This window comes from Homo sapiens, chromosome 8 (assembly GCF_000001405.40).
Source record: "Homo sapiens chromosome 8, GRCh38.p14 Primary Assembly".
Lineage (NCBI taxonomy): Eukaryota > Metazoa > Chordata > Mammalia > Primates > Hominidae > Homo > Homo sapiens.
Genome location: NC_000008.11, coordinates 104,090,614 through 104,118,035, shown reverse-complemented (window position 1 = coordinate 104,118,035; position 27,422 = coordinate 104,090,614). Strand labels below are relative to the sequence as shown.

At 33.1% G+C, this 27,422-nt stretch overlaps 1 protein-coding gene and 1 long non-coding RNA gene across 66 annotated transcripts in view; one reads left to right on the top strand and one right to left on the bottom strand.

Moving 5' to 3' along the window:
• Positions 1-27,422, bottom strand: part of RIMS2 (regulating synaptic membrane exocytosis 2) — a 755,485-nt gene that overhangs the window by 138,059 nt on the left and 590,004 nt on the right. For 21 of the 65 annotated variants that reach the window (XM_017014015.3, XM_017014016.3, XM_017014009.3 and 18 more), the window contains one exon: positions 24,393-24,565. The exons of 25 other annotated variants lie outside the window; for them this stretch is intronic. In XM_017014015.3, coding sequence (XP_016869504.1) covers positions 24,393-24,565 — 173 coding nt within the window. Of the gene's footprint in view, positions 1-2,326; positions 2,411-23,306; positions 23,559-24,392; positions 24,566-27,422 lie in introns of those variants that run through there. 19 more of the 65 variants (XM_017014010.3, XM_047422473.1, XM_011517395.4 and 16 more) reach the window with 2 other exon arrangements.
• Positions 6,388-27,422, top strand: part of LOC105375688 (uncharacterized) — a 33,574-nt gene continuing 12,539 nt past the window's right edge. Inside the window, exons 1-2 of the long non-coding RNA XR_928499.1 lie at positions 6,388-6,429; positions 7,726-7,788. This is a non-coding gene — a long non-coding RNA (uncharacterized LOC105375688). The remainder of the gene's footprint in view (positions 6,430-7,725; positions 7,789-27,422) is intronic.

Sequence of the window (27,422 nt, the reverse complement as noted above, 5' to 3'; positions counted from 1 at the left end):
TAGAAGTTCGTATTCTGTCCAGAACTGTTGTCCAGTTCTATTTAAGTTCTTGATATGATTCTAAACAATCTGTGTAATCATAACATAAATCTCACTAATAAGAAATCAATTCAACGCTTAAGAATTGCCTTAAGTTATTCATTTAAATACTTAAATATATACAGCTATTAGGCAGCCCAAGGACAACTACATTTTTAGCAAGGCTATGTAGATATCATGTCAGAACTAAGTACTAGAAGAAATAAGACAACATTTCCCAAATATATACATTAAGATATTAGGGTTTCTTTGATAAAATAAAGCAGAAGACAATATTCCATATAAACAAATAGAAAATGTAAAGATTATTTTGCCCACAATTACATTCCCTGGAAAATTTTAAAGATAAATTTTTGGCTAGGTGTGGTAGGTCATGCCTGTAATCCCAGCACTTTGGGAGGCCCAGGAAGGGGGGATTGCTTGAGGCCAGGATTTCAAGACCAGCCTGGAAAACAGAGAGAGATACCATCACTATAAAATATTTAAAAGTTAGCCAGGCATGGTGGCACAAGCACAGGAGTTTGAGGCTGCAGTGAGCTATGGTGGTGCTACTGTGCTACAGCCTGGCTGGCAGAGCAAGACCTTGCTTCTATTAAAAAAAAAAAAGGAAATTTATTTCAAAGGTATATATTCTTATATAAATTTTAAAGTCCATTACCTTAAAACTATAGTCCTGTGTGAATACATTAGATTATAAGATATCCAAAACTTACAGAAGTACATGCTAAAATACACACTGTGCTCAGCTATATTATTGACGTAATTAAAACTATTAATATATGCAAAGTGATAAATTTTGTTTTGTTTTATTTTGAGATGGGGATTTTGCTGTGTTGCCCACACTGGACTCAAACTCTTGGGTTCCAGTGATCCTCCTGCCTCAGTTTCCTGATTGGCTGGGATTATAGGTGAGTGTCACTGGGCCCACCAAGTGTGATGAATTTTAAGCAAAACTGAATTAATCTTATACAAATAAATTTACGAGCTACTAGATTAGAAAAAAAGAATGACAAAGCTGTCAACAGATTTCCAATGAATAGTTATTGATGTTACTCAGTGTATGCAGAATTATTCCAAATTCATGCAATATGTACTTTATTATACTTAGAGTGATAAGAAAAGCTCTTTATCATTAAAAAACAAATCTGAGAAGTAATTATAATTACCATTTATACTTAAGTTAGACTGATAAAGAAATATGTTTTTTTAAAGACATCTTATCTACCTTTCCAAATTATTCTTATAAATATAATCATGTCATCCTCTTTTGGTTTCAGACACATTTTATCAGGTTTAAAAACAAAATTGAAACCATCATCTTTCATGGTAAATTTTATAGTATCTCCCAAGTTTTAAAACTACTAGCTGAAGGTACAAAACTCAGCCTAACTCACTTCATACAAATGTAAATCCTAAATCAATCAATAATATAATTTTGCATTTTAAAGAGTTGCTTTTATTAAAACCATTTCAGAACAGATTTAACTGTTTTCCATTTTCTAGCAATATCAATAAAGCTTAATTTAATTTCTCCTTAATCTAGGTGGTCATATTATAAAAAATAGAAAACATAATTTCCACATGGGGCAAGATAATTTATTTATACATATTTAACATTTCTATAATTAGCTCTACTTCTGGAGACTTAAAATCCATTACAATATTTCTTTTCATACCTGTGAAATACCATGGATTAATAGTATTCTACACAATTTATAGAACATCCTATTATTTTGCTTGTTATCTGAGAAAAATGAGGCAGAGTCAGAGTTTAATTTACTTTTAACACATACATGTACACACATGAGTACAGTGAAATTATTAACCACCAAACCTTCATTAACAGGAATACTTTAGAAATGCAATCTTCTGGTTAACTTTTATTCATATTACTAAAGACTGTTCTAAAACATATGAGCAGTTTCTGACTTAGAAATAACAAAATGAAGAACATGATTTATTCCCTTTTTGATTGTTCAGCAATTTTTGTCATTGAGGATCATCATTCCAACAATTACTACTGTAGCTGCAAACTGGTGGCCCATCCATTAGATCTGGCCCACTGATATACTCTCTTTGGCCAAAAGAGTTGTTTACAAAGATAACATAAGAATTAGGGTTTCTGATCTCCTGAAACAGCAGATCTGTCAATACTGCTGCATGTCAATAACTAGCTTAAGGGGAACAGCACTTTCCCCCTTTAATGGGTGCATACATTCTCCAGCTCACCACCATTCCCAACACTACCAAGTTCTTAAGCCTGACTTACTTCAATCACTTATATTACCTGCTTGGCCCCTTTAGGTCTTTAAGTTTGAGTTCCCCAGTCCACTACTATATCACTGTAACTGTAGGAGTCCCAGGAAATTAAATGTAATATGGTCTGGAGAAAATTCTGTGAAAGTTGCCTTAAGAAGAAATCCGTTATCTTGATGTAGGCAGTTTCTATGTTCACTTTCCTATTTCTGGTAAAACATGATTAATAAAAATTCTAGTCAGTTTACTTCTAGTTGGCTAATGCCAGATTTACTAAGTAAGTGTTCCCATATTGTTAAAAATAATTAAAGATTTAGTTTATAATAAATGGTAAAAAAAAAATCCTTCCCTCCTCACTGAACCATTTCAAAGATCGTTTTACTGCATGTAATTCTCATTATAAGTATGCAAATACTAGAACCATAAATATTTAATGATTCAGTAAAGACATCAAGCATGCTATTGTCAAGCTAGCACTGAAGAAACTACACTTAATGAACAAAACGCCTCATTGAATAAACAACTATTTCTGAAATTTAAAAAAGCGAAAGGCAGCTGTTATTCCTATGCAATTTATTTTGCTGAAAGTTTAAGAATTTAATCAACATTATTAACATTTCATTTTAGGGTTTATAATAAATTGAATGCAAACTGAAATACATTTATAATCTTAAGCTTCAGATCAGTACTCTTACATTTTGTTACTACAGAATAATTATTATAAACTATTATGCAGTAATATTCTGAGACAATGCATCTAGTTATTTTCAATTTACAAAGAAATATTGACTTGCACGTGTTCTTATATTTATTAGAGTTAAATATTTGCAATCCTTCAATGTAAGCTTGAAAAGTTATTAAAGCTTAAAAATTAAAAAATTAGTTATTAAAGCTTATACATTAATGTAGATGAAAAACTTAAATGATTATAAAAATTGAATAAAAATACTGTAAGCATATTGATATTTTAATCTGTCATTTCTGCAGCAACTATGCTAATAATTAAGACATGAATATCTAATCCATCAATACAAAAAAAAAGGCAATTGCCAGATTTTTCAAAGTCAGTGATGTAGTTCCTAGAATCTTACTTTGGCTAACAGAAATATTAATGATTAACATTTACGAACAAATTTCTAATGGGTTTAAATACTACTGTTATTTAATACAATGGAAAGATTAATAAAATGCTTTATAGTATAATTTATATATTCCTTAAGGAAAATAGTAGTACCTAATCCTTTCAACATCTTTTTGTTCTCTTCTTTAACTGTCATCTTCCTTTTTTCTGTGTTTCCATATAGTAACAACAAACTGACAATGTTTTTAAATTGCACTAAAGGCAAACCAATCTTTCAATACAAGATGAATGCATTATGTACTGATTTAATACCAAATTGTGTAATAACCACAAATCGAGAAACTAGTATATAGCAAGTGAAATGCAGATAAAAATGGAATATGACAAACCCTTAATGCAGAAATGAATATTATTTAAAATGCCAAAATAGAATTTCTCTTAGGTGTTGTTTTTATCTTAAAGGTAAATAATAATTTTAAAATAACAGTAAAAGTATTTTAAACACATTTAGAGAACATGAAAATTACTTTTCAGTTCAAATAACATTGACAAAAATTAGGAATTCTAATATCAGAACAATTTATTTGTCAGAGACAAATTCAGGTCTTTAATTATCTAAATGTATTCATTTTAACTATTCAACCCACATTAAAAGAAAATATCTACAAAATAGATTATGAAAAGACAGTTTCCTTATTTGTGGTTATTTTTTTGTATGCCATTAATCCATTATCTAACCTTATAATGTGGTAGAAAGACTGAAAACTGGATTTAAAAAAATAACTGAATTGTTTACATATCTTCTTGTGGCACTCAGCAAAATTTGATAGGGGGAGTAGCCTGTTCTATTTGAAAAAAAACATAATTTGGGATCAGCAGTCTAGGGCTGGAGCATAAAAGCTCTATGAAAAAATGAAGAATTATACTAATAAAAGTAGAACTATATGTACATATTATATGTATATATATGATATATATATGTATGTAATCCACTAGTTACTTTATATATATAGTCAGTGGGTTAAAGCATAACTAGAGCCAATTCCAAAATGATAGTCCCTGATGCAATTCTTTCTTCCAGTCCTGTTTTCATGTTTTAAGAACCGTGAAACATATCATAAATACAGAAATGCGTAAGATATATGCTCAATCAAAAGATAATTTTAAAATTAATATCTTTCTAATCATCTCCCAAGTAAAGAGCAGTCTCCTTTAAAGAAGTTATAGGCAGGTAGGATTTGGCCCAATTGGGAAAAATCTTTATAATAATTACAAATGTCCAAGAATATGAACTGCCTCATAAGGTAGAGGGCTCTCAACTGTTCAAGCAGATTGGACAATCAACTATTAGTGATATCGTATAGCGTTAGAGCATTCATCACATTTAGATACAAACTGGAATAGAATTCTCATGTCAAGGCCAGAAAATTTATGTTTTTAAAAAGCTCCCCCAGTGTTTTGTTTATGAGCCTGATTTGACAACCACTGACATAGGAAGAGTCCTAGTTTAGTTCAGGGTACTAGATAGTTAACTTCTAAAGTCCTTTCCAATGATGGCCTATGGTTTTCTGGATATTATAATCTAATTATGAAAGAGAAGTACTATGTTACAATTTTAAGAATGAACCATTAGCAGAAAAGTATGAACAAAAGGAACATGATGATTATATTTCATAACAGTTAAAGGATTAATGAAAAGGGCACTAAATTTTACCTAATACTTTGATATTTAAAATTTGATTTTTAGAATTATCTTTCTCATTTATTGTCTGAGTTCAGTAGTTTTAATGAAAAACTGCAGTTTTAAAAACGACTGAAATAGGGACTCATTCATCCTTCAACAGGTATTTGCTGAGGACCTGTGCTGTGCTAGGCAGTGTTCTAGGCACTGGGGATACAGCAGTGCTCACAACAGATGAAGACTTTGCTCCCATGAACCTAAAATTTCAGTATGCCCTAAATATTGTTCTCTGAAAGAAGCATGCCTGAAACACAAGTTCTTTTTCTTTTGTAGTTATAATCATTTATACAGATTGAACCTAAATTCTAAATTTATTTAGTTAGAGCAGCAACAGAATCTTAAACCAGGAGAATCCTCATCTCAGAATGTAAATAATAAAATCTGGTCTGTCAGTCTCTCAAGTTTACGGTTAACATCCCATGACACATACATATATCATGTATGTATGTATATATCATATACGTATGTAGGTATTATATAGAAATATATCTATATAGTATAGGAATGCCATATGTTATACATAAATATATACATATATTACATATGCATGAGCTATAAAATCAGTTTTTAGCCAGAAAAGCACCCTACAAATGAGATATCAACATTATTATTTGTTAAAATCATGATTAAAATAAAATGGTGAAGACTCTGAAAGTATAACAGGAAATGAGGTAGCAATATTTTATCTTAACAGAAGTCTCTAAATATCTCCTTATAACATTCACTCGTTATTACATTGATTGACCTTGAATATTTTATTTGACAAATATAAGGGAATTTGCTCATTTTGTGTAATATGTAAAATTAATTCTTTTAATGAAGAGGGTATATTCCAATTAATAGTGGAAATAGGAAACTTTAATGATGTGTTGAAATATTAGATATGGGAATAATGGACTCATAATCATTAAATAACAATGTAAAACCAACCTGGAAATGAAAATGAGGAGGAGAGAAATAAACAGACATTATGGCAAGAATAGGATAGAGCAATTCATAAAGAGGGAAACTGGGAGAGAGTCTTCTAAGCATGCGCTAGATTAGAGCATGGTATATACACATGTATACATAGACACACATATGCATGCATGCACACATGTATATATGACATAAAAGGGAGTTCTAGAGCTGTAACCTCCTTTATTACAGCTAATGTTTCCAAGCCAACGTATTGTTGGAAGCATAGAAAAAGACAGACAGATAGCCAATGGGAGGCCGGGTGCGGTGGCTCATGCCTGTAATCCCAGCAGTTTGGTAGGCTGAGGCAGGTGGATCACGCGGTCAAGAGATGGAGACCATCCTGGCCAACACGGTGAAACCCCATCTCTATTAAAAATACAAAAAGTAGCCGGACGTGGTGGCAGGCACCTGTAGTCCCAGCTACTGGAGAGGCTGAGGCAGGAGAATCACTTGAACCTGTGAGGCAGAGGTTGCAGTGAGCTGAGATCGCACCACTGCACTCCAGCCTGGATGACAGAGTGAGACTCTGTCTCAAAAACAAACAAACGCACAAAAAGAAAATGAGCCACTTGTCAATTCCATCTCTTTATACTGTGGCTTAACTGCTTTGTTTGAAGTGATTCCCCAAACAACAGACAGACTGAATTTTTAAAATATATTTGGGAAGTCAGCAAAAATGATCAATTCTCATAATATTTATTGAACTATAGAAACTATTTTTATATTCCCTCTATTAGTGTCATTGCTTGAGAGATAAATCTCATCTTGTATTCCTTGGATAACATTTTTCCTCTTTACTGGATTTGTTAATCCTTACTTGATTTTACAATTCATTTGCTAGTTCCATCTGTCAGCTTTTTTAGAGATAATATCAATCCCTACAGTGAGTTTTTTCTAGACAACCCCATATTTTGTACCATAATTTTATGCTTAAACTCAACAAGAATAAAAATATTTATTTTACTGAAAGAATAGAGGCCAAAGTTTGAAATGGAAAATTAAAGCATGTCAATGAGTTTTAAGCACATTCCCTGAATGACTCTGAAAGTATTACACTAAAATAGTTCCACTATAAACAAAGTTTGGAAAATGCTGGTTTAAATACAACTTTATTATAGTGCATCTCAGAGTGTTCAGGTATGCTGTGAATGTTGATGAGAAGGACTGTATGTGTAGTAGTTCCCAAATTTATTTGATAGTGGAATAATTTTTTTAAAGCATCAGTGCAGGGGATTAACTTTCTGAAAATACACTTGAAAAGCACTGATTTAAAAGATTCAATTTTATATTTCTAAGTATTCATAGCTCATATTCTTATCTTGTTGACTGATTTTAGCTAAATGTCCTCTCAGATTCACATAGCTGGAATATTTTAAAAAGACTTAACAAGAGAACCCATGGGACTCATGTGCAAAATAATATGTAATGTTTTAATTACTGTATTTTTTACAGTTTAAAAACCTTATGCTTGGTTTGGATCAAGGATAAGAAAAACTGTTTAAGCTTCTCAAATATGTTCTTAAGCTATTAATTCAGAAAAAGACTTTTTAATGGTTAGAGGCAGCAAGAAATTATAGATTTTCTTTTGAGAATGTTTTTCTGCCTTATATAAGGCTGAAAGAGTTTCACTTATCTTTTCTTGTCACAGTTTATGTCTTCAAAAGGTATTCTGCAGTGAAGTGGAAGGAACCCTGAACTTTGGTTACATACGGTATAATTTTTATCACTACTTTGACACTTATGTAATACTGGGCAATTTAGATCACCTCTTATAACATCAGTTTTCCATCAATCTGAGCTTCAAAGAGAGCTTTAAGTGAAATTTAAGTGGCTTATAAAATGCTTTACCAATGGGAACTATTATTTTCAAATCAATCTAATTACTTTTTATACTTTTTATTCTATATTGTAATCATTTGTACACTTATCCATCTCCCCTCTAGAAAATAAGCTCTTTGAGGAAAGGGATAGGTTTTGTTAACAACTATTTTCCCTATTTTGGCACAGGGTCTAGCACATAGATGTTAAAAATTATTTGCTGAATAAAATGAAGGCAATTTAAGAAATAAAATAATTTTAATTCCATAACCACTAAAGGTCAACCATATCAAACTATGAAACAAACCTTATAAACATTGTCCACAATCTCTACCCTATTACTTTGTGAAATTATAATGAAATCTTTTGGTACTTCAGAAAATATTTTATCTTGTATGAAATGCAAAATGGATCTATCCTATTCTGAATTGTCATGTGGAAAAGTGTGAGGAAAGTTTCTATGGAATATGCAGTTCTAAAAAGCTAAAAAAGTGAGAATTTTATAAATTTACTTTTCCTCTTTCCGATTCCTTTCTTTTTTTAAACCCATCTCTACTATTTATGAAATGCTTGTCATGTGCCAGAAAGTGTTAAGTGCCTTGAGGGCATTACTGCGTTGAGTTCTCATGACAACCCTCTAAAAAAATTACTATTATTATCCCCAGTATGTGAAGAGAGTGGCTTTTATTTTCCCAAGTTTATATTGTTAGAAACTGGCAGAACAAGGACTCAATCAAGTTCTGTCTGAATCCAGAGCTAACTTTTAATCATTATGCTATATTACCTCTCATGCATGTTTTTGGGGGACTTAGAGCATTATTTCTTTTTTTTTTTTTTTTTTTTTGAGACAGAGTCTCACTCTGTCGCCCAGGCTGGAGTGCAATGGTGCCATCTCGGCTCACTGCAAGCTCCACCTCCCAGGTTCATGCCATTCTCCTGCCTCGGCCTCCGGAGTAGCTGGGTCTACAGGTGCTCACCACCACGCCCGGCTAATTTTTTGTATTTTTAGTAGAGACAGGGTTTCACCATGTTAGCCAAGATGGTCTCGATCTCCTGACCTATTGATCTGTCCGCCTCGGCCTCCCAAAGTGCTGGGATTACAGGCAGCATTATTTCTTATACTAAAAATGTGGATGATGAAAAGTGATGAAGACTCATTGTATGCTTACTATGAGTCAGTGTTCATGGCATCAAGTTCTCATTCACAGCTTAGCAAAGCAAGCCAGTCTAATCCTCAAGGTGCCAGATCAGAACTCTAAGTCTCTATATATGACAGGTGTACCATATAAGGTAGCAATTCATACTCTGTGGTATACAGAAATAGTAAAAGAAAGCTGAGTAAATAATAGACTATCTAGAAAATACATAGTGGTCTTCAGACAACTATATATCTACTCAAAATATTTTCATAGAAAGTCCCAGAAGACTAATTCTACAAATTTTCTTATTTTTGCCATCTCCAAATGATAATTACATTATATCTAAAAATCCTGCATGAAATCTAACAAGAGTGGGAGAAAACCATAAGAAAAGGTAACAAAAGGCTGGGTATGGTGGCTTATGCCTGTAATCCAAGCACTCTGGGGGGCCAAGGTGGAAGGATCATTTGAGGACAGGAGTTTGAGACCAGCCTGGGCACGCAGCAAAATCCCATCTCTACAGAAATGAAAATTAAAAAAAAAATAGCCAGGTGTGGTGGTGCATGCCTGTAGTCCTAGCTACTTGGGAGGCTGAGGCAGGAAGATCTCTTGAGCCAAGAATTTGGAGGCTGCAGTGAGATATGATCATGCCATATCATATGGCATGCAGTAATCATATGATCATGCAGTGAGATATGATCATGCAGTGAGATATGATACAGCCTGGATGATAAAACAAGACCCTTGTCTCTTAAATAAAAAAAAGAAAAAATAACAAAAGATACCATTAGAATTTAAACATTAAGCAAACTCATGCCAATCTTTGAATATGCCCCAAAAGAAAAGTGTAAAGAGAATTCTTTTGAAAGATGAAAAGATGAGGGAAATGACTATTCATCATATATCAGTAAATCAACCAACCAACCAACCAAATTGTTCCTAAATGGAATACATATGAGCCATGAAATACATTATTATGAAGTAATTTCCACTGATTTCTGAAATAGTAGTTTATTTCCATTGTGGGGGGGGGGCAGGGGAAAGACCACCTGGACTATTTATTTATTATTTATTGAGACAGGATCTCTCTCTGTTGCCCAGACTGGAATGCAACGGTTTGATCATGGCTAACTGCAGGCTTGAACTTCTGAGCTCAAGCTATCCTCCTCCCTCAGCCTTGGCATGTGCCATCACAGGGTAATTTTTTTAAAGTTTTTGTAGAGATGGAGTCTTGCTGTGTTGCCCAGGATGGTCTTGAACTGCTGGGCTCAAGCAATCCTCTTGCCTTGGCCTCCCAAAGAGCTAGGATTACATGCGTGAGCCACCAATACCAGCCTGTCCTGGACTATTTAAAAACTTTTGTCAAAGAAGACTGTGACTAGCATATTGGATATTGCACTATGTTAGAAGTACTATGTTGGAAGCTCTATTCCTTTGGAGCTCTTCACATGTGTAAACTTTCACTGTTTTGTTGCAATCTAATTTATTCATATACAAAGTTTTATTGAGTCCCTACTATGTATGAAATATTGTAGATACTGGGAGGCAGAAAAATAAAAAGATAAAAATGATAGATATACTATACTCAACTAATCAACCATGATAGATTAAATATATACTTAAAAAACTATCACAGGGGAGAAAATGGGTATCACAAGAGAAACTATTATTTTAAAAGAACATTATATATAAGCTGTGAAGAGAAGAGAAGGTACGTCATGGAAGAATTCACATGTGAGTTGAGTGGTGAAGGATGAGTAGGTACTTTACTCAAAAAGAAACCAGAAGCCACATTTCAGGTAGAAGAGTCAACGTGAACATACGTGCAAGGAACAAAGACAAGATCCTGGAAAGAGAAGGGTCAAGGAGAAGTGCAAAGGGTTGAAGTCAAGATATGGCTAAAAAATAAAGACTGGAATTGTTTCTTCCTTAAAATCCTAAAGTCTCAGGCCAGGTGTTCTTGGATTTTTTTTTTCACTTTTGTATCCTGAAGATTAGATTCCATTTTTTCTGTATGGAGAATCAGAATTTGAAAATAAAGTCATACTATAGTACCACACTATACTGATGTTATGGCATCTAACAATAATACTCATGCATGAAAGTTATTTTATTTCAAACTTTTTCTTTTACTATATCTATAAAATTCGAACTTCTGTATGTTAAATTTGCTTATCATGAGGGATAAACATGATTATGAGGGAATCACTGGTCAGAATACTGCATTTAGTTTGAATAACAGCTATAGATTAATTGTCCTTATTTGCTTTTAAAAATAAATATTGAATGTGATGGAAGCTACTGCAGCATTTTTTTCTACTGTAATTATTTCATACAGTAGAATTTATTCCAATTTCATGATTTCTCTACTTTCATACTAAATTCATTTTACTCCTTAATGTATAATCAGTGGGAAAAATGTTAGAAATTAAATGTGAAAAGAGCATAGAAATGCATTTTATCCCTATAGCAGACAAGTTAATAGAAATAATATTTACCTGCAAATTAATCAATAGTAGTAATGCCATAAAACAAAAGTTGAATATATTAATCAATGATAATGAACATTTTTAATGTATATAACTCTAAATTATTATTTTGTCTATAATGAAATTAATCAGTAAAAATTAATCTGTGCAGGCATCTCTGAATAAGGATAGAATAACCAGTTATCACAGAAATACAAATAAATAGAAGTTACTAACTAACTATATTACAAAGTAAAACTGTAAAAGTCTCTTAAAACTTATGTAAGACATGAGAATGAATTTTAGGCTGGGGGGCTCATGCCTATAATCCCAACACTCTGGGAGGCATCAGTGAGAGGACTGTCTGTGGCCAGGAGTTCAAGACAAGTCTGGGTAGGTAACATAGTGAGACATTGTCTCTACTTAAATTTTTTCATTTCTTTTCATTTCATTTCTTTTCTCTTTCTCTTTTTTTTTTTTTTTTTTTTTTTTTTTTGTGGCAGAGTCTTCTCTGTCACCCAGGCTGGAGTGCAGTGGCACAATCTTGGCTCACTGCAACCTCCGCCTCCCAGTTCAAGCGATTCTCCTGCCTCAGCCTCCCGAGTAGCTGGGACTACTGGTGCGTGCCACCATGCCCAGCTAAATTTTTTTGTATTTTTAGTGGAGATGGGGTTTCACCATGTTAGCCAGGATGGTCTCGATCTCCTGAGCTCATGATCTGCCCACCTCGGCCTCCCAAAGTGCTGGGATTACAGGTGTGAGCCACCATGCCCAGCCTTCTAAATTTTTTTAAAAAATTAGCCAGGCATGGTGGCATGTACCTGTATAGTACCAGTTACTTGGGAGACTGAGGTAGGAGGATTGCTTGAGCCCAGAAGGTCAAGGTTGAAGTGAGCTATGATAGCACCATTACACTTTAGCCTGGATGACAAAATGAGACTCTGTCCTAAAACTTTTTTTTTTAATTAACACTGATGTCCAATTTCATATCAATGAAGAGAGATATGGTATTGAATTAGAAATAATATCAGTTAGTAGAAATGATCACCCTGAAAGTGTGGTGACACCAATAGCAAGTGGAACCCTTTTCACTATGCACAATGCAATACCAACCTTTATCTTGTCTTAACTAAAACCTGGTACTTTCTTGAACATGCTGTTTCCCCTGAGGTTCTTTCTAGTAACAAATACTTATCCTTCTTCCTAGGTTGTAATATTTCTGGCTAGTTGATACTTTTTCTTGAATATTTACCTTCCACTTTTATTTAGAAGTTTAAATTTCTTTGCAGTTTATGACAACTGGCTATGCTAACTTATACCTCTGCCCCTCCCGACACCCAACCCCTTTTATTCCCTTTCTGGTATCTAATGGTCACTCCTTCATTTACTGAAGTCCTTGAGAGCTGGCTTAGACTTTTCTTCAATTCTCAATTTTACCACAATCCTAAAGGATTTAAATAGCCGTTACAAAAACCTAACCAACCGCCCAATTATCCCAAACTTACATAAATCCAGTTATCTTCATATTTATCTTCTCTTCCATTACACTCTATTCACTCCAATGCTGTGTCATATAATATTTCAACTAATAGAATAGCATCTACATAAAATCTTACATTTCAAAAACATGTTCTCTCTTTTTTTTTTTTTTCTTGAGACAGGGTCTCACTCTGTCAACCAGGCTGGAGTGCAGTGGTGTGATCTCAGCTCACTGCAGCCTTTGCCTCACTAGCCAAAGGGATCCTCCCATCTCAGCCTCCCAAGTAGCAGACCACAGGTGTGCACCACTGTGCCTGGCTAATTTTTGTATTTTTTGAAGAGGCTGGTCTCAAATTCCTGCAGTCAAGCTATTTAACTGCCTTGGCCTTCCAAAGTGCTCGGATTACAGGCATGAGCCATCACACAGGCCTCAAAGACATATTATAACTAAAACCTCTTACCTCCCCGAACCCTATTTTTACTATATCATATAATTTTCCAATTCTTGGATTTCATCTGTTTTATCCTACTTCATCAGTTCCCACATGAACTTGTCTTCCTTCTTATTTAGCACTGACATTTATACAAGCACTCTCAGTTTCTTTCTACTGCTATTTTTCCAACAACCCCATCCATCAAAACTCCCACTCCTCAATAAATGCTATAGTGTGACTTAACTGTTTCTACACTTTACCTATCTCAGTGCTAGTGAGAAAGATCACACTGCTCTCTCATGCTGGTGTCTCTTGAAACTGTTTGTCTCCAACCTGCAGAACTATTCAACAACCCTTTAATTTGTCCATTGTAAGCTACTTCTCATATTTTCTTCAGTAGTTATTCCAAATCTTCAAACCCCCAACTCAACTTTTAAACTCTTATATTCTTACTTCTTATGTGATTGAGAAAATTAAGGCCATCAGGCAGTATTAGCCAACTTCCCAACTCCTTATCTAATAACTTATCTATTTTCATATTTGTTTTTCCTTTTTCAAGCCAGTTTATCCAGCTATGTTTCTGATCCCATCTCCTCCTCCATCTTCAGGTTCTTACTCTAGTAGGTTTGCCTTCTCAGTCCTCTACCTTCAGATAGACCTTCTCTTCAGACCATGTATGTTACCTAGCCTCAAATTTGTCACTTGCAGGGTCCCATATAGTGACTGTGAAGTCATGAGTACACTCAAGTTTACCACACAGGAAAATAATATGATGGCGTATCAACATTTAACCTAGTAATTTTCCTAAATTTTTGAGAATAATATATTTAATTATTAATTGAGAATCTTCAATATGTAGCCAGTTCACAGTTTGAGGCCAATGATTATATTTATGTCCAAAGAATAAATTTTGGACAGTAACAGAAAGGAAAAAAAAAATCACCTTTTCTTGAGCATAAGGTCTGTGTTTTATTCATCTTCAACACTCTGGAAATTTAAAAATATACGCACAGATGAAAAAAATAGAAAAAAGATGAATATTTTAGGGAAAGGTGGCTCAGAAGGAGTATTAGAATAAAAGAAAATATGCTTGACAAACTAAACCCTAAACAAAATATTGTTTGCATATTATCACCTCTAAAGTCATATTTATAGAAGAAGCAACATAGACTATAGATTCTCCTTCCCTCACTTTTTTCTGGAGACATTTTTTGGCATTTAAAATCATATAATTCACAGGTGATAAAACACACCCTTTTAAAGTATATGATTCAGTAGCTTTTAGAACATTCACAAAGTTGTGTGACTATCACCACTATCTATTTTGACAACATTTCATCACCCCAAAAATGAATTCTGTATCTATTAGTAGTCATTCTCCAGTCTCCTTTCCCCTTAACCCCTGGCAACAAGTAATCTACTTTTTTTTTAAGGATTTTCCTATTCTGGACATTTCATATAAATGAAATAATACAATATATGGCCTTTTGTGCCTTTCTTCTTTTACTTAGCGTAAGTTTTGCAAGCTTCATCCATGTTGTAGTATGAATCAGTGGTTCAATCCTTTTTACAGCTGAATAATATTCCATTGTATGGATATACCACATTGTTTACCTATTTACCAAAGCAGAGATCTTTTTCTCTGATGTTTTCACAAATTAACTACTTCAGAGAAACTGACTACTCATATTTTATGCTATTATCCTAATGAGCTTGTTATATGGTTTGGCTGTGTCACCACCCAAACCTCATTTTGAATCATAGCTCCCATAATCCCCATGTGTCATTGGAGGGATTGGGTGGGAGGTAATTGAATCATGGGGACGGGTTTTTCCCATGCTGCTCTCGTGATAGTGAATAAATCTCATGAGATCTGATGGTTTTATAAAGGGCATTTCCCTTGCACATGGTCTCTTGACTGCTGCCGTGTAAGATGTGCCTTTCTCCTCCTTCACTGAACTTCCTCCATGATTGTGAGGCCTCCCCAGGCATGTGGAACTATGAGTCAATTAAACCTCTTTTTCTTTATAAATTATCCAGTCTCAGGTATTTCTTCATAGCAGTATGAAAATGGACTAATACAGTTTATATTTATAAGTTATTTTTTAAGATAAGAATTTCCTATTAAACTAATCTCCATGAGAGATAATATCTCAAGTTATGGAAGGAGAAATGGGGTTATGGAGAAATAAACATATTTCAGAGGCAATTAAGCATTAGAATCAACAAGACTTGGTGAATGGAGGGAAGAAATTGTGCCCAGTGGAGAAGAACTAATCAAGAGTGATGCCCAGGTTTCTGGTTTGAGCAGGTGCAAAGATAACAGGCCATGCACTGAGACTGAGTGTATAGAAGGAGGAGTAAGTTATTTATTTTGGCTGCTGGTTTGGTGAGGGGTATAATGAATTTAATTTTACATGCTGAGCTTAGCATGCCCCTGGGACATACAGGAAGATGTGCAGAACCCAGGAGGACAGATCTGGCAGATAATTAGGAGGGAGATCTGGGCTGGAAGTATAGATTTGGAAGTTATCAATACATACATGCTACTTGAAGCCATGAAGCATTGAAGCCATGAAGCATTAAGATAATACGTGTAGATAGTGAAGAAAAGAGGGCCCAGGATGGGATCCTGGAAAATGTCAACATGGAGGACATATAGAAAGCTCACAAAGAAGACAGAGGTGGCCAGAGTGTATGCAGAACTAACAGACAATCATAAAAGCCAAGAGGGCAGACAAAATGTTTCAAGAAGAGATTGGCAATGAGATCAAATTCTAAATAAAGTTTGCCTGATAAAATATAAAAACTGCTAACTAAATTTAGCAGCATACATAATTTCAGTTATGTAACAAAAAGTTAAATAACTTGTAGTTGTAATAAAATAGAAGTAGAAAAACAAATCCTCAAAAAGGAGGCAAACAAGAGAGTAGATTTTAGGTACTCCTAACACACACAAAATAAAAGAAAGAAAGGTAACTATATGAGACAATGGGTATGTTAAGTTGCTTGACTACAGTAAATGCTATGTGTGTGTATATATATGTGTGTGTGTGTGTATCTATATGTATCTCAAAATAAGCATATCAAAACATCACATTTTACACCTCAAATGTGTACAATAAAAAATAGACAATGGTAAAAAATTTCAATTATTATGTCTAATATAGTAGAATTAATATAGTCCAAGAAGGCCGGGCACGGTGGCTCATGCCTGTAATCCCAGCACTTTGGGAGGCCGAGGCGGGTGGATCACTTGAAGTCAGGAGTTTGAGACCAGCCCCTGGGCAACATGGCAAAATGCTGTCTCTACTAAAAATATAAAAATTGGCTGGGCATGGTGGCACATGCCTGTAATCTCAGCTACTTGGGAGGCTGAGGCAGGAGAACTGTTTGAACCCGGGTGACGGAAGTTGCAGCGAGCCGAGATTGTGCCACTGCACTCCAGCATGGGCAGCAGAGTGAGACCCTGTCTCAAATATATATATGTAAAATATATATTACATATATAATATATGCAATATTATATATTACATATATAATATAATATATAACATATATTACATATGTAATATATAATATAATATATAACATATATTACATATGTAATATATCATATATAACATATACTATATAATATATCATATATACTATATAATATATCATATATACTATATAATATATAATATATCACATATATAATATATTACATATAATATATAACATATACAATATGATATATATTACATATATAATATATATTACATATATAATACATATATATTATATATTACATATATAATATAATATATAATATATATATAACAGGAAATTGAATGGGATTAGTATGTTTTTGGCATTTCACTTGAACTTGCCAACAGACTAGATAAAAAAGAAAATACAATGGGCTACATTGTTTTCTTATCAGTAAGGCAGCTATATCCGTTCTTTAAGAGAGATAATAATAAAATCTTAAAGTTTTACCTAGACTATTCTAAAATGGATGAGTAGCATAAGAAACAATATCCTCAAAAATGCTTGGATAGCTAATGTAAAAGTAATTCTATATGGCTATTGCTGTTTCTTTAAGAACTTTCCATGAGCCTCTTCTACCCAACATAGTAGAGGAGGTTCTAGCCATAAGTTAACCAACATAGCAGAGGAGATTCATGAGGCAAGAAAAAGAAATAAAAGGGATTCAGATTGAAAGAGAAAGTAAAACTATCTTTAAATGCAGGTGACATGATCTCCTATATAGAAAATTCTAAGGAATCAACAAAAAACTATTACAGCTAAAAAATGAGTACAGCAAGGATATAAGATCAACATACAAAAATTAATTGTATTTCTATACACTAGCAATGAACAATTAAAAATGAAAGTAATGAAACAATTCCATTTACAATAGCATCTAAACAAAATACTCAGAATAAATTTAACAAAAGAAGTAAAAGATGTATATACTGAAAACTACAAAACATCATTGCAAGAAAATAAAGAAGCTGGGTATGGTGGCTTACACCCATAATCCCAGCCCTTTGGGAGGCTGAGTAGGGAGGATTGCTTGAGCCCAGGGGTTCGAAACCAGCCCAGGCAACATGGCCAAACCCCGTCGCTACAAAAAATTTTTAAAAAATTAGCTGGGTGTGATGGCGTGACCCTGTAGTCACAACTATTCAGGAGGCTGAGGTGGGAGGATCACCTGAGCCTGGGGAGACAGAGGCTGCAGTGAGCCATGATTGCACCACTGTACTCCAGCCTGGGCAACACAGTGAGATGCTGTCTCAAAAAAAAAAAGAAAGTAAAGAAAAAATAAATGTTTTCTGCCGATCATATGGGGCAGAAAAATAAAGAAAAAATAAATGGAACAACATTTTGTGCTCATGGATTAGAAGACTTAATATTCTTAAAATGGCAACAATCCTGAAATTGATCTAACTGAACACAATCTCTATCAAAATCCCAGAAATTTTCCCCCTGAATTGACAAGCTGAACTGAAATTTCAGTAGGAAATACAAGCAACCCAAAAGAGAGGAGGAATAGCACCTACACACCACTGGCATCATAATCACCTGTGGTGTTTTAAAAATGCAGAATCACAACTTTAGGAGTGATGTTCAAGTACTTTCAAAAAGTTCCCAGTTGAGTGTTATGCACAATCATAAAACAGAGTAGAAGTTATTTGGGCTTATAAGGTTTTCATTGGTAATAAATAGAAGATAGCCTTGGTGATAAAGAAGAAAACAACAACAAAAAAGAAAATACAAGCCACAGGTAATACTTGGTGGAGGAGCACAGCCCATCATACCCTCTGTGATGAGTTGGCACTGAAACACACTTCCAGAAAATTAAAAACAAAACAAAACAAAAAACTAAGCTTGATGGAATATTGGAATGGAATATTAAATACTGTCTGGAAACATCTGCCAAATAGTAGAAACTTATGTTCAGCTGTTTGTTGTACCAGTGGTCAGTCACAGAACCAATTACCTCAAATTTATGATAATAAAGGCAAATCATCAGAATAACAGGCAATGCTCACTTTCCTGTTTGTTGCATACTATCATCTAAGCTATGGAAAGGTGCGTGAATCATTGAAAAATCCATTCCTCTGTTTAACAAGCTAAAAAGCCTAGATAGACAAAATAGATAGGTGTACACAACAGTCAGGATGACAATGCTGGTATTTTAGAGTCCTAATCACAACTATTTTCAAAAGACCTCTGCTTCCCCTTTAAAATTCCATAATATAGGCATAAATAGACTGTATATATCAAGTTATATCACATAGCTATGTAATCTGTTTTCACACTAACTCTGATCTAGAATATGTTAGCAGCAGTGACTTTGAATAAATGTTTCATTAACAATTATTCTGCTTGTCCTTCTAAAGATTATGAGATCTTTTGCTAGATAATTGAAATGGCTAAGTCTCTTAAAATCAGTTATTCATGAAAATTTGAACTGATGCCCCAAATTTTTCCTTAAAAAAGTCTCTATCTCAAAAAGAGCAATTCTCTTAAAAAAGAGCAATGATAATTCCATAGCATTTATAGATATGCCTGAGAACCATAAGTGTATAGAGAAATAATTTCTTGATTTTTAGTTTGAACACAAAATTACCAACATTGTTGCTTTTGACAATACTATGCTTTTCAGTATTTGTTTTTTCTATCTTCCATTACAAATTACTTAAGATTGCCTCTCTCTGAATATTTCATCAAATATTCTTATGAATTTGTTGAGGCCATCCCGATGACATTTTAATATGGAACTATCCTCAAACATCCATCCACACATGGCTAAGAAACTGCATCACTCTCAGGCTTAGAAATTTTAACATGTTTAATTTCATTAAACTTTTTAAATTTTTATTTTTGATGTGTGTGTAAATATAGCTAAGTATAAATATATTACTCATTAATTAACTTAGGAAAAATATTATATTCAAACATTTAACAAACTATTTTTGAACTTACTTTTTGCTATTCATTTCTACTTTTACATTCAGTAGACTTACTAAATGTGACTTACTATAAAATGAACATAATCATGCAGTAAGATCTGTATCATACAATTAGATCTAATTAACGAAAATAGCAATTATAATGGCTTCTGTTTATTTTAGTTACTGTGTTAATTGTAAGTACTAGCATTGCTATAAATGTTAAACTCTGAGGTAAATTTTTTTTTCCTTCATATTAGGTTGGTGTAAAAGTAGTTGTGGCTTCTGCCATTAAAATTAATGGCATTAAAAGTAATGGCCATTAAAAGTAATGGCAAAAGCCGCAATTACTTTTGGACCATGCTTCATAAAACTTAGATTTCAAATAAAAGATATAAAATGTCAATCATATATAGGTTGAGCATTCCCTAATTTGAAAATCCAAAATCCTAACTGCTCCAAAATCCAAAACTTTCTGAGTGCCACAATGCACAGTAACCTTTAAATCAAAACACAACATTGTAGGGAGAAACTGAAAGCTTGTCATTGTTTTTTTTTTTTTTGCTATTGCTTAACTGCTGATATAGGTGTTCTGGTGATGCTACTATGCTGCTTAGTTCCCTGAACACATTACCTTTTCACTGTATTAATAGTTTGTCATATTTTTTACTGTTAAGTACTTATGTGTTAATAAGTGCAAGAAAGTGACTACTGGTTGGGAGCATAGAAATTCAGAGTCAGAAATGATATGATGCCAAACAACCACAGACTGTGCACATGAGTGACTGAGACAGATGTCTTTGCTTGCTTCTGATCATTCAATGCAGACAAACTTTGTTTCATTCACAAAATTATTAAAAATATGGGATAAAATTACCTTCAGGCTATGTGTATAAGGTGTCTATAAAACATAAATGAATTTAGTGTTTACACGTGGATCCTATCCTCAATATATCTCATTATATATATGTAAAAATTCCAAAATCTGAAAAAAATCCGAACTCTGAAACACTTCTGGTCTCAAACATTTCAGATACGGAATATTCAGCCTGTAGTATAGAATAAGATTATTTCCAATAATGTTGTATAAGAACATAAGTTGTTATTAATGTTTAAACAATCTGTGATTGTGTTTATCAACTACCAAAACAAAATGATGCTTGGAATACTCAGATATATTTTCTCTCACAATAAAGACTGAGATTTATTCTAAGAAGTAAAAGCAAATTCAAAAGCCTATGTTGAAATGATTAATGAGTGCTACCAACATTTTCTTTTTCTTTTTCTTTTTTTTTTTTTGGTGGGGGGCGGATGGAGTCTCGCTCTGTCACCAGGCTGGATTGCAGTGGCATGATCTCGGCTCACTGCAACCTCCACCTCCTGGGTTCAAGCGATTCTCCCACCTCAGCCTCCCGAGTAGCTGGGACTATGGGCGCACACCACCACGCCCAGCTAATTTTTGTACTTTTAGTAGAGATGGGGTTTCACCACGTTGGCCAGGATGGTCTTGATCTCCTGACCTCGTGATCCTCCCACCTCAGACTCCCAAAGTGCTGGGATTACAGGCGTGAGCCATCGCACCCGGCCCCAACATTTTCTTATAAGCAATTGCCGTTGATACTTCTTGGCATGTTCCAGGATATATGTTCCCTACAGAGATCAACCTGGCCTCCTCTAGTTTACAGTTCCAGAAGTATTACACAGTTACTTAAGCTAAGTGTAGTGCTTTGATCAACCACATTTCTAGAATGTACCATCTTTCCCTTTTCCTTGAAAAATAATGTGCTCTTTTTTTGAAAAAATAATGAAGCAAGTACTATTTAAAAACCAGAAACTTAAGGTTATAGTCTTCTCTGAATCTCTGCCTAGCAAGCCAGGTATGGCAGCGTGGGATCTGGGCTCCAGGCAAACACCAATGGGCTCATGTGTTCTCATGTATACAGTATGTAGAAAACACATTAGAGACTCATTCTTTTCTTTGCTCCTGGAAGAAAGGAAACTCTATGTATCTTTCCAAGGACACCTTGGAAAGCTTTTCTCTGTGAATTAGTGATGAAATTATCCTATGCCCAACAAATCAGAAAAATGGTCATCTTTATTAGTAAACCAATGTAATTATCAAAAGTTAAATACCAAAGACAGATTTGAAATTACTAATTTAGATTCAAATAATAAAATATGCCTTAAGATTCATTTTTATGTTTAATGCCTGTTATACAGAAACTTTCATAGAGCACAAATACAGTTAAATATATCTAAGATAACAAGGGAAGGGACATCGGCTAAATCACTGAATTGTATACTCAATGGGTAGAGTTCTATCCCGAATATCTGTCTCACTGTGAGAAAAGTGAGAAAAGCACAATTTTAGATTGGGCTTAGATATAATAAGGCAAAATCTTGCTTATAAATAAGGCGTGCTTTTATTGAGCAGGCTTTGTACTAACACAAAATCAAATTCTGGACTACTAGAAAACTCCATCCCTCCAAAATGTACATAATTTACAATTTTCAGTCTCATATAAATGTAATTAGAATAACGTCATATCCTCAAGCAGAAGGATAAAGTCTGACTGCACATTCGTGCTAATTTGACTGTATGTAATATATATAATACTGTAAAGATAGCTTCATACTTACTTACTGACTTGTGCTATGAAAATTAAAATATAGTTGTTTTTATGCCATGCTGCCTGTATTTTTTCCCTGCCCTTCTCCCTGTTCAAAGTTCCCTCTCCAGAAGTTTATCTAATGGATTGAGTTTAAGAAAGGCATAACCAACACTTGCCTTCTAATAAACCCTAAGGCATCTATTCTTTCTTTTCAGAGTATTAAAAAACATTGCTCCTGCTTTGTAATCTTCTGCAGGACTCAAACTGCACTAGAACCTACCAGAAAACTAAGAAGAAGCAAGGGAACCAGAGCCAGAATAAAGTCTACTATTTGCTACCTGTTTTCTCATTCATTTTTGAAGTTTGTTTCCAGGAAATAATATTTCTTGTAAAGTAAGCTCAATTTTTTTCAGCCACTTCAGAAGTTAATTTTAAAGAACTCTGCCTTATTTTTGTCTGAAGCAGTTTTCAATATTGGTAAAGAATTTTCAAGTTTCTCTTTTCAATGATCTTTATTAGACCTTACAGATAAAGAAGATATACAGTAATTCATGTTAAAAGAGACACAGGGAAATTTACATTGGATTCAGCTACTCATAACGAACTTGGTAACCAAATAAATCAGACTCTCAGAGCTAGTGGATACAAATTCAAGACTGTTTAATAAATCAATCTATTTGATAATAGTTTGCCAACATATTAATTAGTAATATTAGAAGCTAAATAGATAAAACACAAGAAAATAAAGCAAATGGAAATGGCAAAATAATTTTTAGGAATGGTAAAAAAGACTACATTACTAATGGGAAATGCCTACAAATAACATATTTTACCTGGTATCATCTTGTGAGAATCTCCTTTGCAAATCCTCTTTATTCCACTGTTCTTTTTCTTTCCCTTGCTCGTGTATATCTTGTGTTTTTTCCTCGTCTCCTGATTCTCTGTTTTTCTCCTTATTACACGTTTTGGCAATCTCTTTCCCTTTCTCATTCTCATTAATTCTTTCTTCCTTTACCTCTTCCTTCTCATGAACTATCTCTTCATGCTTATCCCCTTCTTTCCCTCCCTCTTCTATTCCCTTTGGTCTTTTGAAAGCAACAGAAATTGAAGGCATGCAAATAAACACACAAAAAAAGAAAGTCAAGAAAAAACACTTATGAAATTAAACAGAAAGGTAATAAAAACTATCAAAACATAAGTAAAAATTATATCTTTTAAATGTTGAAAACTTACTTCAGTGTATACTAGAGAAGCACTGTATAAATAGCACTTAATTGTAATAGTTTTTAAATCATATTTTCCTTTTACAAAATTACATGAAAAAAGGTAAAAGTTGTGATCTCCCTGTTATAAAATTTTTAATCCAATAAGAGTAAAACAAAATTTAGCTTAGGCATCTATAAAATCTATAGGACAAGTAAGAAATGCAAATTATACTAACTTATATACTATATGTATAAATTTTCTTGAGAAGATGAGGACTTTTTCTATGCATATATAAAAATTTCAAGAGGATAGGAAAGCATCCTACTGAAAAAGTAACATTCTTATGTTTTCTAATAACAAAATATATTATTTTTCATATTCCTTGGAACATGAAAAATTCAAGTCTCAGCCATCACTTTTATTTCAATAAAGATATAAGAGGTCTTAATTTTTAAATTACAAACATGAAAAAAGATATTATTTCCAGTGATGTAGTAAGCAAAATTATCCATAGTTTCATAACATTTTCTTCTGTGCAGGAAGTCTGAAATGTGGATTAAAATATATTAAAAAGTAGTATGTACTGAAGTTAAGCTCCCCTGGCTTTAAAATATATATTAACCTGTTAGAAATAAATAATTTTATGTTCATCCGGGAAACATAAAGACCTTCTAAAACATATTTAGAGAAGTTTGTTGTTGAAATCCCCTTACCTGATTTTCTTGTTTCCTCCTGGGCGTTCTGATTGGACAGACATGTAGCTTGTGCTGCTGAAACGAGAAGCACTACTAGTCCTTGAAACCGCAGATATATCACTTACATCACTGTCCGAAGATTTAGTAGAAACATTATCTGCCCCTCTATGAGGATCCCATCCTGATCGATACTGTTAACACAGATTGACAAATACGCAGAAGTTGTCAGTATTACCACACAAAGCAATTATTAGCTTTCTCCTATTTCATCACTTTAATTGTCCACAGAGGAAACTGCAAAATCCCACTCAGTTGCATATAAAACAAAAGTGAATGGCAATTATCCTAAAAGAAAAATTCAATTTATATGAAACCTTTGTTTTTAGCAAAGTAATTAGAATGTTTTTACCACACCCCAGTGAAGGCCATTAAAATAGTTTCAAAACAGCACTGGCCTCAGGAAAGAACATTTAGGTAAGATCTGGGAAATAAACATTTGGCTTAATATGAGGAAGTAGAATTTTTTTTATTTTTTAATAAATTCTAGTAGCCATCAATTAATCCATTATGCTTCACTGAAAACCTAGAGATAATATAAAATCTAATTATTAAACCATTAACTCTTTTTAGAAAAGCCGAGAGAAAAGAGAAAGTTTAATTTCAGAGTGGTTGCTGGATTTTGATGAATCCTAGAAATACTAGAAAAAGTCATTATTATTTACAATAGTTCAAACTTCCTGGAATTGAAATAGTCAGATAGTTAACTGGCACAGCCAGGGTTGCAGGGTATTCTTGGGTGTTCAAATATTCTGGTAAATTAAAAACCATCGTAAATGCTTTAGGTTAATGACCTAGTCTCATAAAATACATTTAATGCAAAAACTAATGGACAAAATTTAACTTTATTTTGACAACAAAAAATCATTTGCTAAGAGTCCTCTTGTTGAGATGTAAAAAGGATAGACTTTGGAGTCTGCAAACCTGAGGTAAGAAAAACTCTCACTAGTTGAGTAAATTTGAGCAGATCATTTAACCTGTAAAAGGCTTCTTAAAAAAAAATGGATAATAATATCTTTTTTTGCAAGGCCTAGAACTAAGACGTATGTGGTATCTGGCATAATGTAAGTAAATGTAGCCTGTATTATTACTGCATTATTACAACTTGGTGATGTAACAGTATTCTTACTATAAACATCAAATATGACTACTATTGGGTTAAGAGATTATCTGCTAATTGATTTTTATTTGTTTAGATGCACTTCAAACTTAATGCTGAAACATTATTATCTAGTTAATTTTGCAAAGGAGAATTTTCTAATCACAGATACTAGCAAATTTCATAAAGCCTTAGAAAGATGATTATTTTTTATCAACCACTTGCTATGTCTTAAAGAATAATTACTTAATAAACAATCCCCCACGAATGACAATTCATTGCAAGTATTAGATAGATATAAACATTTTGGCCAAGATAAATTGAGTGGCAACAGAGCATAAACAGTAGATCCGATATAAGTGATCTGTTGATTGTTTTCTCCCAAAACCTCTCAGTATCTAGATATCCATTTTTAATAATTGACTCTTCTTCAAACGTAAAGAAATTATTTCTAAGGCTCCACAAAATTTTAGTCAAATCCATTAACCTAGCAACATATATTCAAATTACGTGAGAATTGGCCTTTCTTAGTCCACTTTAACTTTCTATCTTGTTAGATAAACTCTCAATTATTGAAAAGCATACAATTAAATTCTTCTAAAAATTGCTGCCTTTTCCCAGGAAATATCTATTTAAATAGAACCATAGGGTTTAATTTTAAAAGAAACATTATTAATGTACAGTGGATTTATTCAAAGACAATTTAGATCATAATATTATTTTTCAAATAAAGTCATTTTAAAATACCAAACATTTTGCCTTAAATGACAATGTTGAAAGCCATTGCCTAGAATAGCATTTAAATGAATGGTGTCAACATTAACCATGTTATATCTGTCTATATAATATATATAATATGTACACTATACAATAATATATTGTATACTATATAATACAATAAATGATATATCTATACATATTTTCACAAAATTTATTGAAAGTAAATGTGATCTCAAGGTAAGGTATATATGGAAGGCTTTCATTTTACTTATATGTTTTTTGGGCATTTATTCATACAAAAATCAAAGTTTTAAGAAATTTTTCAAAGCTATAAAATTGTTCAATAGATACTATACTCCGTATGGGAGACTTTTCTCTGATTCTTATAATTTATAATAAAAAAGAAAAGTAGCTGCTATTCTTTCTTTTAAAGTAATTTATTATTGAATATGAAGGCAGTTTTGGTAATATATTTCTTATTTGTTTTTGCTCATGGGATTATTATATCATCTAAATTCAAATGGAAAACTGTAAGTTTTAACTCTAGCAGTAGTAAGGGCAATAATGTAATCATTAAGAGCCAATGCTCTGGAATGGGACTGAATCATTTGAATTCTGGCTACATAGATTATTAGGTTTGTGATCTTGGATCAATTGCTTCTATGAGTCTCAGTATTTCATCTGTTAAAATATGGATAATAATTGTGCCTATCTCCAAGGCTTGCTGCAAGGATTAAGCAAGATAACGCGTGTAAAGCACTTAGCACAATATCTGACACATAACAAGTGATAACAAATGATGACAAAGATAATGATGATGATGATGATGATTAAACAGTAGCCAAAGACTGGCTTATGTAAATTTCAGGAATATCTTTAGCTAAATAATATTAGCTAGAAATACTTAATAAATACATTAAGACTATTCTAAGCTACAAAAACATAATTATTTTTACATATATCCAAGAGATCTGCTTCAGAAAATATGTTTATAAAACAAAATTAAAATATTAAACCCAACTTTACCACTGACTCCTAGTATGTCCTCAGGCTTCACCTTCCCCATTTGGCCAGGTTCATCCATATTCCATCACCTAATAGGGAAATACTGATTCCCGACTGCAGGATGAATAATATCTTTATCTCAGCAGGAAATATATGACACTTCTTGG